Consider the following 21,228-nt stretch of genomic DNA (forward strand, 5'->3'; position numbering starts at 1 on the left):
CATATTTATTAAGTTTGACATTTCTGAGATGGAGTTTTGTTACCAGCTAGCAACATATGTCAATGGGTTGAGGAAATGAGATTGCCGAAATGCAGCAGACATTGGGAGAAAACATAACATGTGGATTGCATTCAATATAAAGCAAAGCTTTGCTGAGATAGCCTATGTTTTGGGAATTTTAAGAGCGAAGTATGCATACAGTCACGTGCTGCATAACAACATTTTGGTCAATGACAGACCACATTTCTAATAACAATGATCTATAAATATTATAATGGACCTATAAATGCAGTAGGCTATCTCATCTAGGTTTGTGTTAGGGCACTCTATGTTGTTCACACAACAAAATTGCCTAGTGATATATTTCTTAGGATATATCCCCATTTTTAAGCAATACATGACTGTATACTTAATCCCAAACTACATATTCTATAATCCTTAATGTTAGAAGTTGATATTCATTTCTGTGAAAGGTACTTGTTTTGAATATATGAAGTTACAGGTAAGAAACTGCCCAAACAGAAAGTTTGTTATTACTAATTTTATGCTGTTCCCCTGTTCTTTATTCCTACTCAGAACTATTCGGTTGGCCGTACTTTGTTAACTGCAGGGAGGATCTTTACATGCATAAAAGTGAAGCTTCTTAAATGGATACTGTCTTGATCCTTTTCTTACACTGTCTCGTCTGTGTATGGCTATAACAAATACACACGAATGGTCAGTAAATGATATTTTTATACTTCTGCACTCGTTCCTCCAAAATACACAAAATTGATTTTTAAAACCTACTGCTCAAATGTAAGATCTGCATCAGTCTGGATTGTAGGTATTATTTTTTAAAATCACTTAGTATTTTCTCTTTTCTAACAAATTCAGCCTTTTTGCACTTTATTGCTCTAGAAGGTAATGTATGGAACAGAGTACAATAATGAAATTTTCATAAAAATCATTTTACATAGCATTTTATCATTCAGGACTATATTTTAACAATCTCCACTTCATATTTGGTATTAGTTGGAATAATTTGAAATGAATGTAAATAGGGAAAAAAACTAGTGTATACCATAGCATGAATTCACACAAGGTAGTTAAAAATCATATATTTTTAAATAAAAACTCAAACACTTAAAAATGTTTTTCTTTCAAAAGTATTAAATGTATTATTTCTATTTATTCTTAATTAAATAATCTAATTTCTCTGGATTTAAAAGCTTGATAAAAAGAAAACAAAAAAACACCTCAGAAGTTTTTCTTAGCAAGTCAGATTTTTTAAAAAAATATTATTTTATTTAAAAATATTTGTATTCAAATATTAACATTTTCTAAAATAATTAACCAATATAAGAAATTCTTTAAATTTAACTTTAAAAACTATGAAATATGAATATACAGAATTAATATTTCCAATAGTCTCTAATAAGATTTTTAACATCTATTTTTAAAGTGAACTTAAAAAAAAGAAGAGCTAATATTTTAGAAAGTAATAAATATTTAACATGTTTTATGTTTAATTATGTATGTATTTTCTTTAAGGAATTTTCTAAATTCAAATTTCTACAGCTATTAACCTTAACAGGTATGTGCTACAACATGGGTACATGTTTTTAATTGTCAACAGGAGTAATTTCTAATTTATACAAACTATTTTGTCAAATGACACATTTATTTGGTGTTTGTACTTGTATACCTTAGGTAATGTGGAATTAACATAATGATAGTATATATACTGGAGTAATAGACACATTTAAATGCAACTACTTGTCTCCCATGATACTGCAATTCCATCAAGCGTAGGATCCCAATTGTAAATCAATAGCACATGTAAATGATCTGATTCTGCTCTCACTGCAGCTCCTTGTGAGGCATCTTTGCCACATTTTAATCCTGTCATTTAAAGAAACTTCTGTTCCTTTCACCTTGAAGACATACAAAGTAGCTATTTTAGAAACTAAGCTCTTTACATTAAATTAAGAAGTATTTGATAGGGTAATTTTTTGCCTATAAACTGAGAAAGTGGAGTAATTCAAAGTAGAAAGATAAAGAACCATTCATAAAAAGAACATTAGAAAAGAAATTATTTAATTCTTGACATGTATTTCTAGGCTAGACACACACATGGTAACATAATAATTCTACTCTATGCTACAAACACACACATTCTCATGCATTTTATTTGAAGTCGTCTTTACCTTCTTAATCTTCATGTGGTTTTGTGGTATTTATTATTATTATTTTTTATTATTAGAGACAAGGTCCTGCTCTGTTGCCTAAGCTGAAATGCAGTGGTGTGATCATAGCTCACTGTAACCTTAAACTCCTTTGCTCTAGTGATCCCTCCTGCTTTAGCCTCCTGAACAGTTAGGACTGCAGGCATGAACCACCACGCACTGCTAATTTTTTTTAAATTTTTTTGTAGAGATATTATGTTGACCAAGCTGGTCTGGAGCTATTGGCCTCAAGCAATCCTCCTGCCTTAGTCTCCCAAAGTGCTGTGATTACAAGTGTGAGCTATTGTGCCTGGCCCTCAAGTGATATATTTTATATTTGATTTCTACCAGCTTGAAGTTGAAACCAGTTTATTCAACCTTTCCCACTTAATTAACTCTTTGCCTTCACTATATGTTTTAGCCATTACTCTAATGGCCATAAACATATGAATAAAAACATGAACTTAGTTAAGAAGTGAGATATATTGGTAACCCAGCTGAGAGGGATACCAGACAGTTCACAAAATTGAAGAAAGAACTGTAAGTTCTGCCAGGATTCCTTCCCCAAACACTTCTATCCTACTATATACAGATCATCTCCACATGAAGAGAACATGGTAGTTGACTGTACTGATTGAAAACATCTGGCAGAAAGAGAAGGCCTCTTCTCTCAGCATCAACTCTAAAGAAGGGGTCTGAATGCCAATATTCCACTCACATGCATGCCCAGACATAGGTAAATCATAGTTACCATGGGGATGGAATTTACTATGTGTCTTAGCTTGGGTTGTTCCAAAAATAAAATAAAAAAAAAAGTCTGAGATAATGATTTTCTCACAAGTAGTTTATTTGAGAGGTGATCCCAGATCCCAGGAATTATTGCAAGGGAGTGGAAAATAAAGCAGGGAAGAGAGTGGTTTAATGAGCACATAATTGTGGGCAACTGAGGCTTCATATGCTGGAGACTCTCTTATAAATCATGCGAAACATAACTAAAAGTTGTCAACAGAAATGAGAAAGCAGTGCTATGTATCCACAACTTGTCATCCCTTGTGCATATTTCTGGCATAAATGTGGAAGTGATGCAGGATTTTTCTCAGCCCGTTTGGCAGACTCGTGGGAGAGGTGCCCCATCTACTTGGTCTATTATGCTCAAGCTTTTGGGGGAGAGAGCACATATGCCAGCAAGTGCAGGACCTGGCTGGCCACTCCAGATGCCGAAACAGGAGCAAGCTCCACACGGGCCCCCAGCCTGACCAGGTGTGTTGCCTTGGCGGGAACATGGTGGAACCCAGGTGAGGGTGCCTGTGACACTGAAGCCCCAGAGGGGATTTTACAGTGCTCCTTTAGTTCCACCATTCACAGACAGCAGTGTGTTAGCAGCTCAGTTGGTGCCTTGCCTCGTCACATGGGGTGGCTGCCCTTTGCCAGGGAGGGCAAAGGGCTGGTTGGACGGCCTTTCTGGGTACCCACACTCAGTGGGTCCCAAGCTCTTGTCCAGTGTCCAAGAAGAATGAGGTCATGCAGATGATTGAAGGGTGGTGAAGGTGGAGAATTTTATTGAGTGATGAAAACAAGTCTCAGAGGAGAGGGGAGCTGGAGAGGGTACAGGAAGGACAGGTCGTCTTCCTGTACAACCTGAAGTCAGGCTGTCTCTTCCCGAAAGTCAGGCCATCTCATCTTCTACTGACTGAGTCTGGGGTTTCTATAGACACAGGATGGGGAGTGCTTGCTGATTGGTTTGTGAGTGTGCAAAAGTTAAAGTGAAGACAAGACTCAAAGGTGGGTACAACAGTGTGGAAAACCAATTAGGAAAGGGCAGGTATATGTAAAATAGGTGAAGGGTGGGGATCAATCAGAGGAAAGCGCACCAAACAGGAAGACAAGTTCTCAATCCTGTCTGAGAATTTAACTTATAGCTTGGCTTTCAAGCTTTAAACTGGCATTGGCTTGGAGGTGATGTTTCACCGGGTACCCACCCTTATCTGTCTAGGCATTTGGCTGCCTCCTGTCACTATCAAAAGCTTTTACCGCATTGTACTTTAATGGTTAATTAACTGGTATGTCTCTCCCTTAAACTTTCAATTCCTTGAGGGCATATCTTCACCATGTTTAATTTTTCCAGAACCTATCTCAAGACTTGACACATCATAGGAAATCAGTATGTTTGTTGAATCAGTTAATATTTTTAAAATTTCTAGAACACTAACAACAAGCAGTTACAAGATAGATATGTATTTGTGTATGGAGTACAGTTTATAGAGGCAAAAAAAGTTGGTTACAATAAAATAAATTTCTAGGTGTGTAAATTCATTACATACTAAATAATCAAAGCTAACACTATTGAGGTGTCAAAAATAAAACCCATTTGTTTATAGAAATCTCATAAAATGTGCCTTCCTATGTGTTATTTTTCTATTTATTAAAGCTAATTTCTTACAGATATTGTGCCTATTTTCTTACAGATATTGTGCCAAACTAATAAGATTTTATATAAAATAACCATATTGAATTATTACTGTCACATGCTCTTTTGCCTCCTCATTTTCCTGTAGAAAATGTTCATTATTCATAGAGACCCAATTAATCACCGCAGTTTTAGTCAGAAGACAGAAGCTTTGCCCTTTATTTATCTCACAAAGCAGGATCACAATAGTTCTGGTGCTTAACTATACCGATAATTTTTTAAGTAGCTTACTTTGCTAAAAGGATTAGATTATTTTTACTATATATATATTTTTTACTATGTATATATTTTTACTATATATTTCAATCACACTAACCAAAATAGCTTACCTGCTAAGCATGCAGTCTGACGTAAACCCAAAAGTATCAGTTATTCTACTTGCTGGTCCTTCAGAGTGAATTTGAATGTCATTTCTAATATAGTTTTCTAACATACAGTCGCATTGTTACTCTGGCTGAAATTTTACCTATACTCATATTTATCTAGTGAGAGACCCTACAGACTGACTAAAAACTGTGAAAACAAGTTCAGAAATACATACGCTGAATCCTTAGCCTAAAGCCTTAAATTTCTACTCTTACGACCTGTCCTATTTTAGTCAATTGACAAACACCAACAACTTACAAAGAGATCCAGTGGAGCTTCCAAATCATATCTGTAGATGTTAAGTCTTGGAATTCTTTGTAGTTCTAAATGTTGATACTTGTGAGAATTAAATTTGATAAAATGTTTTCTTTTAAAAACAATATACTGGCTTTGACATAGAACCTATTTTAAATAAAGCTATTAAAGTAACCCAGTCAAAGCTTCTAAAATGTTGCATAGTCAACTTTTGAATTTTCTGAGGTGGTTTTTAAAAGCAATGTTACAGCCTTTAATTTTTCATCTGCTACAGAACTTAAAACTACTAAAGACACGTTATTACAGTATTCAGATCTGATTTACAGAAACATACTCCACAATTAGGTTTAGAAAAACATAGATGCAAATTAGTTAAAAAATGATGTGCATTTCAAGTATCTCTTTGTACTGAATCACAATCACAAAGGAATAAACACATAATTCACTGTGTTTACCTGCCACTCTAGCCAAAGCTCTGATTTGGCTTACGTACAATAATAAAATACTAAGGGGAAATAAGATTACATTTATTTAATAATAGTGAAATCTAAATTCTCCCCATGACATCTTTGTCAATGTTCAATGGGACAGCAGATATCATTACTAGTTCAATATATGACTAGAGGGTTTTAAAATGTTTCCAAACTTTCTTTCCCTAAACCCGTAGCAGGAAAGAAATATCACTATATTTTATAAATTTATTAAATGCACTTATAAATAGCAAAAGAATTTTTAAAATATTAAGGTTTGAAAACAATGCCCACTTTGCAGAAAATTATCTCTGGTGAAAACAAAGGAAGTTTGTCTAAAGTGAATAAATATACTATGGCCTCCTCAATAAATATTTATATTCTGAGATTTTTTTTCTATTTTACTTAGCCTACTTATACTCTCAGAAATAATAATATGTTTCTTACATTCTTAGACATGTAAGTAGGCTAAGTAAAATATTCTACGTAGTAGAATGTTTAGAATTGTTCTAGTAAATAAATTAGCTTCACTGATATTGAATAATTTTCAACAAGTTTCACTCTCAGTGCTTGCTAAAAGGAAAACTATTTACTTGTTTGAATTATGTTCTTCATAATTACTAAATTTTTCTGGGCATCAAATGCTCCCCTTGTATTTTTTCGTTTTTTTCTTCTCTATCTTGTTTTTCCTGTCTCATTCTTGAAAATATTCTCTCATATGCTCTATAAAGCCCATGCTATTTTTGCAAAATCAATTACTGATGGCTTTCTAGCTTTTAGTTTTAATCCTTCAGAAGGCCCAGAAGTTTCTGTCACGTATACAGGTTCAAGAACTTGCTTCAATATCCTTAAAAAACATTAACATCTTAAGGAAGTTTTAATGCAAAACAAATGGAAATAGCTTTGAATAAGATGTCTGTTTAACTAATGTCATCTAAGCTGACTTTTTTGAACAGAAGAGTAAATAAGTGATATCCTTATTATTAAGAGACTCCCTTAAGGGCCAGTGAGAGGCAGGAAAACATGAAACCACAGTGAGTATTAGAAAATAAATTGCAGTTTTGGGCCTCCAAACACAATGTGTTTTTTATATTATGCTTATGACACATCTAGTTATTCTGAAAACCGGCCATGTGTTTTGGAGCAGAAGCATTTCCACTGAAGATGGTAATTGCTTATGAGTAGCCATTGATACATGAACAGTGAACATGTACCTAAACCACTGTGCATTAATAAGACTTTCTTCGCTTGCATATGAAGAGACCCCAATCAAGAAAGTTTAATGATATAAGCAGAGTTATTGGCTGATATGACCCAGAAAGCCAGAAATATCCTGGCTTCAGATACGGCTGGATCCAGGAGCTCCAATAGTATTTTTTGAACTGCTCATTCTTTCTTGCATAGGATTTCTCTCTTGAGACAAAGTAGCCACCAAAGTTATGTGATTGTAACTAAACAATCTAAGTAGAAAGAAGTAATATTTTGATAGCTCCAGAAGAAAATGTACAATAGGGCATTTCATTACCCCCAATTATACCTATGCCCATCTCTAACTAACTGCTATTGTCATGAACACTACATGAACAGGATTGTTCAGAAAAGAGAAACTGTTATTAAAGGAGAGACAACTTCTGAAAGAAAAAAAAAGGGCCAAAAAGCTATAAAGCTTCACTCTTTTCCCTCTTCCCAATGGTTAATTCTTAGATTAACTCCTTTGGTGCATTTCTCTAATACATTTTTATAACTGGATTTGAAGTTAGATAGTCCCCTACCCACAATGTACATAGGATTTTTCCAACCCATTTTAGGAGGCCATCATCCCATAGGCACAATAAATACACAAACTAATTAAGTAATTATTTAAAAACAATAAAATCCATATTAGCTCTTACCTTCTCTACAAATACAATGCTGATTTGCGTCTACCAAAGCTAAGCATGTTGAGTTGTTTCTGCAAGGGTTATGAAGTAGGTCACAAAGGTTATAGCGTTGGTGGCAAAATTGTCCAGTATAAAGGGGTGGGCACAGACATACAAATTGTCCAGGGATGGTAGATTCATGACAAAGACCTCCATTCATGCATGGATCAGAGTCGCATTCATTTATTTCTTCACTACAGTTCTGTCCAGTCCATCCAGATGTACACTCACATCTGAAATAAAATATTAAAATTTTTAGAAGTGTGAACTCTTTTTCAAGTTTATTTTTTGTATTTTTAATTACTCCCTTGAACTAATAGTATGTGGTGCTTTTAAATTTATAACAGGACTAATAAATAATACATAGTTTTAAAATATTGTTTGCCTAATTTCCTGTGACAGTATAATATATATTACCATAAAACTTACCACCTTGGCTGAAATAAGATTTTAAAAGCATTAACAAATTTCTAACATAGTTAGGCCTCTGAGACATGTCAGAGAACAACTATTGACCTAAATCACCAATTGAGCAAAATTTTCCTATGAATTATTTAATATAAGTTTTACAGATGAGATCACTATTTATAAGCCTTAAATGCTATTTAATTCAGCGTCCTTAGCAATATGTGAAATTCTTGTCATCACCAGAGTATATAACAAGGTGTTACTTTATGTTAAGCATCTGTTTTTGGCTTTGTGTGTGTGTTGAATCACTTGAAATGCATTTTTAAAAATATATTTTCTTTTTTAAAAATTTTAGATTCAGGGCTTACATGTGCAGGTTTGTAACACAGATACATTGCATAATGCTGTAGTTTGGGCTTTTGTTGAACCCATTGCCCAAATAGTGAACACAGAACCCAATAAATAGATTTTCAACCCCTACCTTTCTCCTTCCCTGCTCACTTTTGGAGTTCTCAGCCTCTATTGTTTCCATCTTTATGTCCATGTATACCCATTGTTTAGCTTCCACTTGCAAGTGAGAAAATATGATATTAGATTTTCTGTTTCTGCATTAATTCACTAAGGATAATAGCCTCTAGCTGCATCCATATTGCTGCAAAGGACATGATTTAATTCTTTTCATGGTTTTGTAGGATTCCACAGTGTATATGCATCACATATTCTTTATCCAGTCCACCGTTGATAGACAGCTACGTTGGTTCCATGATTTTGCTCTTGTGAATAGCACTATGATAAACATATGAGTGAAGTTGTCTTTTTGGTAGAATGACTTCTTTTTATTTGGGTGGATGCTCATTAGTGGGATTTTTGGGTCAAATGGTAGTTCTATTTTTAGTTCTTTGAGAAATCTCCATAATGCTTTCTGTGGGCTGAACTAAATTCGTATTAATATTTGAATAATGTGCGATAATTGAAGGGAAAGCAAACAAATAAAAAATAAAGCATTTGGAAGTTATCTGTGTATCACAGGCTTCTAGCTCAGTCTAGTCCTCCATCCAGTATCTGTCATTATCTTCAAATACCACTTTGGCTAGTCATCATCCATGAAACGAGGCTAGTCTGCCGTGAAGAGAAAAATTCTAGCAGACAGGAGGGGGAAAGTGTTTTACACACAAAATTCTAGCAGACAGGAGGGGGAAAGGGTTTTACACACAAAGTGTCCATTTGAGGGAAATGGAAAGGTTATAGTGAAGCCTGCAGATAGAGAGTAAATGCAAATAGAGAGATAGAGAGGTAGTCCATCAGCTGGGTAAGTGGAAAACAATCACAAACTGTAGGTGTGTTCAAGGAGAGAACTTGTGTCAATTTGTGGGCAAGGTAGATTTCCAAATCTTGAGCAACTTTACTATTATGCAAGTTATGAATCATGAAACAAGCACAGGAAATATTAGAACAATTATTTTCAAAAAGTGTATTTACTGATAGATTAGATTTTTAAGATAACTTGAAAAAAGTCATAGTGCTGAAATAATGTAACTTACTTTGTGATACAGAATATCTTACTAAAAGGAGGGGAGCAAAGAGGAAGGAAAGAAGGAAGAAACAAAGAAAAGAGTCACCTAATTTGCAGTTTCAAAGCCCCAGATATATCAAGGCCCTTTATAATTATAAATACATAGGATACCAATATATTGGAGGAGATAATTGAACAAATGACTTGCAACAACATCTATAATTGAATTCTAAATCGATATAGTTACCATTAAAATAAAAACCAAAATGAATAATTGGCAAAATGGTATTAGACATAATTGACTAATAAAGTGTTTACTAGTTCAATAAGTTTAAATCCAATGCATTGTAAGCCAGTGGATTTCACAGCTGTCTAAATTTTTTTTTAATTGGCTGTGGGTAGAAAGTAATTGCTATCATGATAATTGCACATTTCTTTGTGAAGCATGCTAGCACAAGACAAAATTTATGACTGAAACAATTCATACCTTCACAATATAAAAAATATATACCTAAGGGTATGTTATTTACTTAATATTTTATTTTCTTCTCAAAATCAAAATGCTCTAATTATTTTGGTGACTTTCCATCCTAGTTTGCCTGGAGAGACTTGGTTCAGTTTGTTGTTCTGATATAATTTTCAGGGCATCCTTTTACTTATAAAAGTTTCTAAGGTGCTTTTTTTAAAAATCTTTATCTCCTATATCCCATTACTGAAATTGAGTATCTAAAAAACAAAACAAAACAAACAACTATACACTTACCTATTTACTAATCCTACAAATTATTTCACTTTGCTCTAAAATTTGCTTGCCATACACTTTAGGAACTCATCATATATACTATCTTGTGTTAAAATCATTTGCATGGTTTGCCTCCACCATTAAACTTCTGGTTCCTGAATGTCTAAGAATGATCTGAATCTCCACATTATCATGTCAACACAATAAATGTTGACAATACTATAAGAATTGATATAAGGTCCTCAGTGTTGAAACAGATCAACTTATCTGCACTCTTTCATTTAGGAAGTTGAGGATCAGAGAGTTTAATGAAATTGGTAATCTCAGAGAATTGTTGTAAAGATTACATGACATGATGAATAAAAAGTATATATAGTGCCTGGAATCTGCATTGCCTGGCCACCTACACTGTTTACTAGATGCTGTCACAGAAGTTTTAAGAATACATTTTCTGACCTATGAGCCTAAATACAATGTGTATCTCAGCAATGAATATTTCTTTAGCTTTTAGTAGTACTTCTTTTTAATGTTTGATCATCACATCACATTTTAAAATTGTCAAATATATTATCCAATTTGATACTTTCAATAAAGCTTTGAAATATGTAGAAGAGATATTCTTTTTCTCACTTTACAGATGAGATAGGTGGAAGTTCAAAGGATAACAGTGATGTATCCTAAGTCATGTGGTTAAGCAAATGGAACTTAGAATCCAGATCTCCTCCTCTCAAGTTCCTGTTTTTCTTTTCTTTTCTTTTTTTAAACATGCTTTAAATCTAGTATCATTTCTTTAAACATTTTGTGAAATAATGTTAAAATTGGGTATTACCCAGTCTTAAGAGAACTTCAGTGTATTTATTTTGCTTGAAATAACATCACTGTAAATATAACTATTCAGTCATATAATGGGACTCAGTTAATATACTATGGCAATTTTAAGAGGAGAAAAGCTAGAGAATTAATATTTTCTAAAATCATGGTTACACAGGTCCTGAGGGTATTGCACAAGTATTTATGTTTTTCTCTTTATTGTATTCTGAGTACATAATTTCAACTTGGTTAATTTAAAAGAGTTTCCTAAGAAAAACCGACAATTCTTGCCTATTTGGCATATGTGCTGAAGGTTTGTTTTATCTTCTCACATAACAGGTGGCCTAAGACCTCATGTGGTGTCATTCCAAGGATCCAATCCTCAGGAAAGAATGTGGCTGTATGTCAAGAGGACTGATAATGCCAAGGCTGAGTTCTATGGAGATAACATGGATGTTTTATAGAAAATAAAGTTCCGAGGAACAAAGTCACTACTAGTGACTAACAATCATACCTACAGGTTTACATATTTGAATCTGCTTCCGCACATGTCAGAGAAGCTAGTGTTTGATGGGTGGGAAAAGGAAAACATATTTGATGTGAGGGCTTCAATCAGATTCTAAGTTTGCTCCATGAAATAATTTCAGGATTTAGTGGAACCAGGCAGATATTTTCAAACTCACAGCTAGAAGCAGAGTCTTTATGGATTAAAAAAAAAATGCAAAGCACATACCGTGTGACTTTTTGAGTGTACAATTTCTGGTAGTAAACACTTGAAAACAAGTAAGTGCGTGCCTAAAGATAGGTTAATACATTCTAATTTGCTCTTTTCCCTAGTGTGAGAAAATCTAAATTCATTGGTGTAAAATACATTGAACACTTCTAAGGACAACTTTTCAAATCTTAAATGCTGATTTAAAGTACTAAAGCTGATAATAGAAAATAAAGTAGTTATCATCGTTAAAAAGTGGAAGAAATACTACTCATTAAGGTGCGTTGGCTCACGCCTGTAATCCCAGCACTTTGGGAGTCCGAGGCGGGTGGATCACGAGGTCAGGAAATCAAGACCATCCTGGTCAATATGGTGAAACCCTGTCTCTACTAAAAATACAAAAATTACCCAGGCGTGGCAGCACGCGCCTGTAGCCCCAGCTACGCGGGAGGCTGAAGCAGGAGAATTGCTTGAACCTGGGTGGCGGAGGCTGCAGTGAGCAGAGATCGTGCCACTGCATTCCAGCCTGGGTGACAGAGCGAGACTTAGTCTCAAAAAAAAAAAAAACAAAATTCACTAGCTTCAAAAATCTTAATAAATGTCAATTTCTAATGACTAAGCATTCTATATGTTTACCTTACCATAAACATTTATTTGTAATGACAAAGGATCGTTCAGCAATATGTATCTGTGTTTGAATATATTTTGTATATTAAGGCATATAGGCTTTTTTGGCTCTAAATTTATTAATACAAACCTAAGTGTATATGCAGTTTAAAAGAATATTTTCTTATAAAAATCAGTTCACTTCTCTTAGAAGCAAACAGTAAAATGTTGTTTATCAGCTACTGGGAGGTGGAGGAGATCAGTGGAGATGTTGGTCACAGGATACAGTTAGATGGAAGGAAAAAGTTCAACAAACCAATTGTACATGATCATGACTATCATTAATAACAAGATATTGTGCACTTAAAATTTTTTAAGAGAGATTTTAAGTGCTTTCTTCATGAAAAAGATAACTATGTGAAGTAATGCATATGTTAATTAGCTTGATTTACCCATTTCAAAATGTATGCATATATCAAAACATTATGTTATACAACATAAATATACACAATTTTTATGTGTTAATTTTAAAAATTAGTTCATTATTTCCTGCAATCATTACATATTTGAAACACAAAATTTCAACCAAAACTGCTAGGTGAAAAAGAAATAATGACCGTTAATAATAAAATAGTATTGTTATCTTTTTAGTGTCCTACAAATTGGGGACATAGGAAAGGGAAGAATTTTTTTTAATGAGCTACCGAATTAAATAATTCATTCATTATTTTATTGTTTTGTCTATTAACCTATTTACACCCTTAGGTGTACATACCATCAACAAAATTATATTCATACCGAATTATAACATGAACATTACTAAACTCTTAACCTCTGCAATCTTCTTCTTGGAAATAAATGTGGAAAATCACTTAGCTCATTTAGACGGAAAAATCTATTGTAAAAAATATTTGTAAACATTAAAAATAGAATACAAAATTAAGGACCACTTTGAATAACAGCCTGAAAATGTTAGTATGTAAAAACATATGAGAAGATTGATATGGGTAAAATGAAAGTGAGGAGGTAGCCTAAAAACAGTAATAGCAAGGCAAAGTTGCTGAGGATTGTGAAAACTACTGCAACAACAAGAAAAGTAAAATTAAGGAATTTTGACTTTACCCTTGAAGATATTTAAGGGTTTTTTGTTTGTTTGTTCGTTTGTTTGTTTCTAAGCCTGGGAGTAACATTGATTGTTATCCAGTAGATGGATTAACATAGGGACAGCTTGGAAGCATGAAGATCATTTAGGAAGCTATTGTTTCATTACTGATAAGAGATTATGAGTACTACACAAAGGGAGTAATAAAGTACATCAAATTTGAGATATATTTCTGATGTAGGACAGAGAAGATTTGGATAATGGTTAGTAAGCAGATGAGGCAGAGTGAGGAGTGAGGACTCAGTGGGCTTCACATTCACTATTGGAAAGATAATGATGCCATCAGGTAGGAGACAGATGACAACGATGGAAATAGAAGAAAATAAGATGGCACTGATGCTTAATATGTAACAACTTAAATCAAATAAATTGCATGATTTCAGATGCTGTCCTGCATGTATTGAAAATTCAAATATGGAGCTCTAGAAAAACCAAGGCATGCAATAAAAATTCAAGTACCATTCTAACAAATAATACTAGGAATAAATAAATTTAAATTTGGCCTTCTCTGCTGAAATATAAATTTATGAAACATATAGAATCCTCTTCATTATGATATTCTGCAGTATTTTATAGAATCTTAGGTACATATGTAGATTCTTTGAAAAGAAATAGGCAGGAAAGAGTTCTACTAGGCAGATTAGAGTAAGCATGTGGTCGGATAGACAGTAAGCAAGATAGATAGTAAGCAAACCTTTCTTTCTTTAATTTTTATTTATTTATTTTGAGATGGAGTCTCACTCTGTCGCCCAGGCTGGAGTGCAGTGGCGCGTTCTCGGCTCACTGCAACTTCTGCTGCCCGGGTTCAAGCGATTCTCCTGCCTCAGCCTCTCAAGTAGCTGGGATTACAGCCCTGCCATCGCACCCGGCTATTTTTTGTATTTTTAGTAGAAACAGGGTTTCACCATGTTGGTCAGGCTGGGCAAACCTTCCTTTTTTATGTTTTTCTTTTTTTCTTTTTTTTTTTTTTGTGAGGCTGAAGTTTATGGAGTATGTATTCTAAATGAACTCAAGAATTTCTGTTTTAATATTAATAGAAAAAGGATTTCTTCTATTTAGGCCATCAAGCATCATTTCATATATTTTTTCAAAAAAATAAATTCAGACATATAATTTATTTATACACATAATTTATAAGTCAATTATTTCAATTGGAAGAATTATAATCTATATTTTTCATACATTTTGATGTAAATGAACTGTATGGATAATTCCTTGATATAATTCTCTTCAAATTATCTGTTTCCAATATTCTATATGATTTAATCTCCTGTGCCATGTAAAAAGACAACTGGTCAATAATCTTTTTCAGAGTTATTTAATTCAAGCTGCTTTGTAGGTCAGTATTTCTAAAAAACAATTCAAGGCTTTTTCAAGATTCAGAATATTCCTCGTTTCATAGAAGAAAGCTAAAATGCCAGACAAGCAGAGGCAGATAATGCATTGGGTCACGCCTCCAGTATATTCATATTTAAAATCTGAGGTAAATCTGATGGAACTCATGCTGTATTTTGAAGAATACCCAAAGTTAAATACATTTGAATCTGGGACTAGAACAGCAAAGCCAAACATATGCCGTACAGTGAGATGCCATATAGTGAGATTAGTTTCATTTTTTTTTTTTGTCATTGTGGTCATAATACAGAAACCATGAGAATGGGGTATTTTACCACTTGGATGATCAGAATTTAGATTTTTTTGTAAGCCTACAACAAGCCCTAAGACATTTATGTTGAAAGATGAATCTTTCAACAACATCTTGAATAAAGCTGAAAGACAACACTTGCTCAAAAAGGCTGACTACATAAGATAGTTGAAGCTACTATTCTGTAAGTTTACCTGTTGAGTCAAGAAAATGACTAGTGTTATAAACATGAGTAACATGAACAATTATGTGATTTAGCTTTGAACATAAACCTAGTTTAAGTTACTGTCTTTAATTTCTTCTATTTTATTTTTCCTTAATGGTGTGTGTGTGTAAGCGGAAAATTGATGATGAATCAGTTTCTGAGCAAGTAAGTATTACTTCTGGCTCCTGTTTTTTTCCAAAAAGGATCTTTGTAGCAAGTCCAAGTAAGTCTGCTTTTAAATATAATGCTTTATATATTCAGAAGAATTCATAGTTGCATCTTTTTCAATGCTTAAAAATGTATGTAAGTATATGTCTGCATGTGTATATGCAAGTATAATATCCATACCTATACCCACACATTGTATTCAAATTATACTTGAAAATGCATATATAATCTTTCAAATACAGTTTAAAATGTATAAAGATCCTATATACCTACACATATATTTTTATTCTTTCAGGTACAATTTGAGTAGGAGGCAGAATTTTAAATACAAAAGCAGGATACAGAGTGTTACATAAGCAAAGTACTAAGATATAGAACTTAAACAAATTTATAAACATTTTACAAAATAATTCATAAATCTTCAGCATGTCAGGTGTTTCATATGGAGAAACATTTTAAACTCCCAGTTTAATAAGCATTACACTTGAAGTCTCAGAAGAAAATCAACTGAGCTAGCAAAAGCCAAAGGATTTTTATGCATATGGAAATATTACAAGCAATGAGGAAACAAAATAGTCTTTGTTTTTTTGTTAGGACTGGCATTATAATAAATGCTATATCTGTTTCATACTCCTTAGGGGTAACATGTATTAAAACTATATACTCTAATTACTAATCACACATACTTAGTTCAGACTATATGCATATAACACCATTAATTCTGAAATGTAACATAAATTCAGTTAGCCGATGTAAAAATATGCAAAAATAAACCTATTGAAAATGAACACTAACATATCTTTCCACATACAGAATTATTAACCCATTATTTTATTAAAATTTAAAATTATAGAACATGTCCTTCCTTAAAAATTTAAATAACACTCAAATTGTCTTATTTTTTAATAAAACAGATGGAACTATAGAAATAAATAAGGATAGCAGAGATAAGAGAGAAATGGAAAGAAGGAAAGAGAAGCAAAATAATTATTTTTTAAAATGTCACTAAAGGGTCACCTGTCTCACAGGGGTTATGTGGAAAGTTTATTATCTATGATCCTGCTTCTTGATGAGACTCTTCCTGGTACTTAGTCAAGCCGGAGTCCAAGTGATATTCAAAAAGCCTTTAAAATTCACTAAGCCAGAACTTCAAACTCATGGAAAGAAAGGATAAATTCAAAGTAGAAGAGATTTATCTTTGTAAAGTATGAAGTAAAGTCACCAGTGCCTGTGTCTCTCTGAATCTAACTCAATGTGACAAAGAAAATTAGAAACAGAAAATAAAACTTCATCCTCAATAAAACAGTTATCAATAATCCCAAGCCAAAGCACAAAAGAATTAGATGACAAATATTGTGAAAGGACCAAGATAAGAGCAGATATGAAGAGCAGGTAGGTGCCTGCTGCTGGAGTAAGCCAGCAGAAAGGGCACAAAAATAGTTCTCAGAGTAGGAAACTGATGAAAAATTTTAAAAAACAAGAACAAAAATTAAAAAAAAAAACTTGCTTGAAATATAAGGCTGGGCCAATTTTCCATCAAAGAGTGTTTGGGGTAGAAGAAAAGACACTGGCAGAATTTGGAATTTCAGAGACATGCAACATTGAGGGCCCATGAAGGAAAATCAGCAGTCCTGTTGCTACTGTTATTCACTGGGGTGACGAAAAATAAATCCATTCTCCCTCTCTCCCACCTCTGTCACACACATACACATGCATATGCATATATGTGTTCACACACAAGCAATTGAAAAACCAATATTTTCCTCTGAGCCAGGGAAGATTCTGCTTGTTTCTCATTGACAAGGACATTGTGTTGACTCACACACATTCCCACAAATACTAAGGTTTTGAAGAACTAAATTTAAAGATAAGAAAAACTTAGAAAGGAATTAGTGCAAAATAGACTGTTGTGTTTGTGTGCAAATGTAAATGTAAAAATAAATGAGTATGAAAAGAGCCAGACATCTTATATAAGTATTATTTTACCAAGCATATTAAAATTACAGCTAGATAATTTTAAGACAAGTATAAATATTACTATACAACAAAATATTTAAGGAGATATAAAAGACTCAGGATATATATTAGTTAATAAAATGAGAGGAATCCCAATGGCAGAATTCCAGAAAAAATAGAGGATAAATTAAATGCCAGTATTCACTGGCCCTTTTGTTTCCTCTCCATGATAGCAGTGCAAATGCACTGCTTCTAGTCTGCCATCTTGACCCAACATCCCTTTAAATGTATTTTCTAACTCATTCCCTAGCTTCTAGGGTGTCCTGGCATCTTAGCTATGGATATCCCAGTACCTGCAGGTCACAAGGTAACAGAGACTATGACAGTCATCTGGGTCTCCTGGAACGGAGGACACAGAGCAGTGGAGATGGACCCCAAGCTCTAGGTGGAGTAAGAGACCTACTTTGAATTCTTTATCCAGCATCCCAACATTTCATTTTGTTTAGGATTCAAGATCCAGTATTACTATGCTGATTTTTTTCTCATCTGGAGAAACACTTCTTACTCTTGTTTACTTTTTTTGGGGTGGGACTTTTCTTGAGGATGTGCCTATGATGTATGTTGAGTAAGGCCATTTGGCTTTGCTTCTGGGTATGTTTAGTGGCTGTATTAGTCTGTTTTCACGCTGCTGATAAAGACATACTAGACACGGGGGAAAAAAAGGTTTCATTGGACTTACAGCTCCACATGGCTAAAGAGGCCTCAGAATCATGATGGGAGGCGAAAGGTATGTCTTACATGGTGGTGGCAAGAGAAAAATAAGGAAGAAGCAAAAGGAAAAACCCCTGACAAACCCATCAGATCCCATGAGACTTAATGACTATCACGAGAATAGCACAGGAAAGACCTGCCTCCATGATTCAATTACCTCCCCCTGGGTCCCTTCCATAACATGTGGGAATTCTGGGATATACAATTCAAGTTGAGATTTGGATGGGGATATAGTCAAACCATATCATTTCACCCATGGCCCTTCCAAATCTCATGTCCTCACATTTCAAAACCAATCATGTGTTCCTAACAGTCCCTCAAAGTCTTAACTCATTTCAGCATTAACTCAAAAGTCCAAATTCTCATCTGAGACAAGGCAAGTCCCTTCCACCTATGTGTCTGTAAAATCAAAAGCAAGATAGTTATTTCCTAGATACAGTGGGGGTACAGGTATTGGGTAAGTACAGCTGTTCCAAATGGGAGAAATTGGCCAAAACAAAGGGGTTACAGGGCCCATGCAAGTTCAAAATCCAGCGAGGCAATCAAATTTTAAAGCTCCAAAATGATCTCCTTTGACTCCATGTCTCACATCCATGTCACACTGGTGCAAGAGGTAAGTTCTCATGGTGTTGGGCAGCTCTGCCCCTGTGGCTTTGCAGGGTACAGCCCCCCTCCTGGCTGCTTTCACAGGCTGGCATTGTCTGTGGCTTTTCCAGGCACATGGTGCAAGCTGTCAGAGGATCTACCATTCTGGGGTCTGGAGGATAGTGGCCCTCTTCTCACAGCTCCACTAGGTGGTGCCCCAGTAGGGACTCTGTGTGGGGACTCTGACCCCACATTTCCCTTCCACAATGCCCTAGCAGAGGTTCTCCATGAGGACCCCGCCCCTTCAGCAAATTTTGCCTGGGCATCCAGGCGATTCCATACATCTTCTGAAATCTAGGCAGAGGTTCCCAAACCTCAGTTCTTGACTTCTGTGCCCCCAGAGGCTCACCACCATGTGGAAGCTGCCAAGGCTTAGGGCTTCCACCCTCTGAAGCCACAGCCCAAGCTGTACTTTGGTCACTTTCAGCTATGGATGGAGCATCTGGGACACAGGGCACCAAGTCCCTAGGCTGCACACAGTATGGTGACCCTGGGCCCAGCCCACAAAACCATTTTTTGCTCCTGGGACTCCAGGGCTGTGATGGGAGGGGATGCTGTGAAGGTCTCTGGCATGGCCTGCAGACATTTTCCCCATGGTCTTCGGCATTAACATTAGGCTCCTTGCTACTTATGCAAATTTCTGCAGCCAGTTTGAATTTCTCCCCAGAAAAAGGGTTTTTTCTTTTCTATTGCATAGTCAGGCTGCAAATTTTCCAAATTATTATGCTCTGCTTCCCTTATAAAACTGAATGCCTTTAACAGTACCCAAGTCACCTCTTGAATGCCTTGCTGCTTAGAAATTTCTACTGTCAGATACCCTAAATCATCATTCTCAAATTCAAAGTTCCACAAATCTCTAGGGCAGGGGCAAAATTCCACCAGTCTCTTTGCTAAAACATAACAAGAGTCACCTTTTCTCCAGTTCCCAACAAGTTCTTCATCTCCATCTGAGACCACTGCAGCCTGGACCTTATTGTCCATATCACTATCAGCATTTGGGGCAAAGCCATTCAACAAGACTCTAGGAAGTTCAAAACGTTCCCACATTTTCCTGTCTTCTTCTGAGCCCTCCAAACTGTTCCAACCTCTGACTATTACCCAGTTCCAAAGTCACTTCCACGTTTTTGGGTATCTTTTCAGCAGCACCCCATTCTACTGGTACCATTTACTGTATTAGTTCATTTTCATGCTGCTGATAAAGATATACCCGAGACTGGGAAGAAAAAGAGGCTTAATTGGATTTATAGTTCTACATGGCTGGGCAGGCCTAAGAAAGAATCATGGTGGGAGATGAAAGCCACTTCTTACATGGTAGTGGCAAGAGAATAATGAGGAAGAAGCAAAAGCGAAAACCCCTGGTAAACCCGTCAGATCTCATGAGACTTAATCACTATCACAAGAATAGTGCGGGAAAGACCAGACCTCATGATTCAATTACCTCCCCCTGGGTCCCTCCCACAATACATGGGAATTCTGGGTGATACAATTCAAGTTGAGATTTGGATGGGGCACAACCAAACTCTATCAGTGGAATAGACTCTGTATGATTTCTTTGGTTATACGTAGTCTTCATGTGGTGGCTTCTCAAATGCTCATTGTGGTAGCGATGTGCCTGGTGTGTCAGCAGGCCCAAGGCCTCCTAATGAGCAAGGGTGGTGTGAATAATAGTGGTAGCAGAGGTCATATGAGGCTACCTTCCCAAATGCTGTGTACTTGTGTCAGCAGATACTGAAATGGGCTATGAAGTAGATCTTAAGGCCAGAAAGTGGTGCTTATAGGTGAGAGCCAGATGGCATGGTCACTAGCTCTCTCCTGTAAGATGTTCTCACCTTGTCTAGATGATCTCTCATCTACACCCAAAGGTGTAATCTAAATGAAGTTCTCAGGTTCCCAGGTGGTGGGTTGGGTTGTAGAACATTCAGTGGTCCTTGTCCCCCACTTTGCCTCTGAGGACAGAGGCAGCATAGCTGGGAACTGGGCCAAGCGAGCCTGCATGTGGGCCCCTAATGGTGGGTGCAAGCACCAGCCCCAGTAGGGTTCGGAGTCAGTTCTCGGGTCCCTAGAATAACTTCCCAATGAGGAGCAGAATAATCATTGCTGGGCCTAAGACCCAGGATGGGGAATGAGAGATGGCTCAGGCTCTACAGACTAGCAAGTGGTAGTGGGACCTGCTGTGCTCTCGTACTCCCAACCTAGGAGGG

At 35.4% G+C, this 21,228-nt stretch overlaps 1 protein-coding gene across 2 annotated transcripts in view; it reads right to left on the bottom strand.

The window, feature by feature from the left end:
* The window catches only part of EYS (eyes shut homolog), a 1,987,247-nt gene that overhangs the window by 1,184,847 nt on the left and 781,172 nt on the right, over positions 1–21,228 (bottom strand). For both annotated transcript variants that reach the window (NM_001142800.2, NM_001292009.2), the window contains exon 16: positions 7,658–7,917. In NM_001142800.2, the coding sequence (NP_001136272.1) occupies positions 7,658–7,917 (260 nt within the window). The remainder of the gene's footprint in view (positions 1–7,657; positions 7,918–21,228) is intronic.

Source organism: Homo sapiens, chromosome 6 (assembly GCF_000001405.40).
Source record: "Homo sapiens chromosome 6, GRCh38.p14 Primary Assembly".
Lineage (NCBI taxonomy): Eukaryota > Metazoa > Chordata > Mammalia > Primates > Hominidae > Homo > Homo sapiens.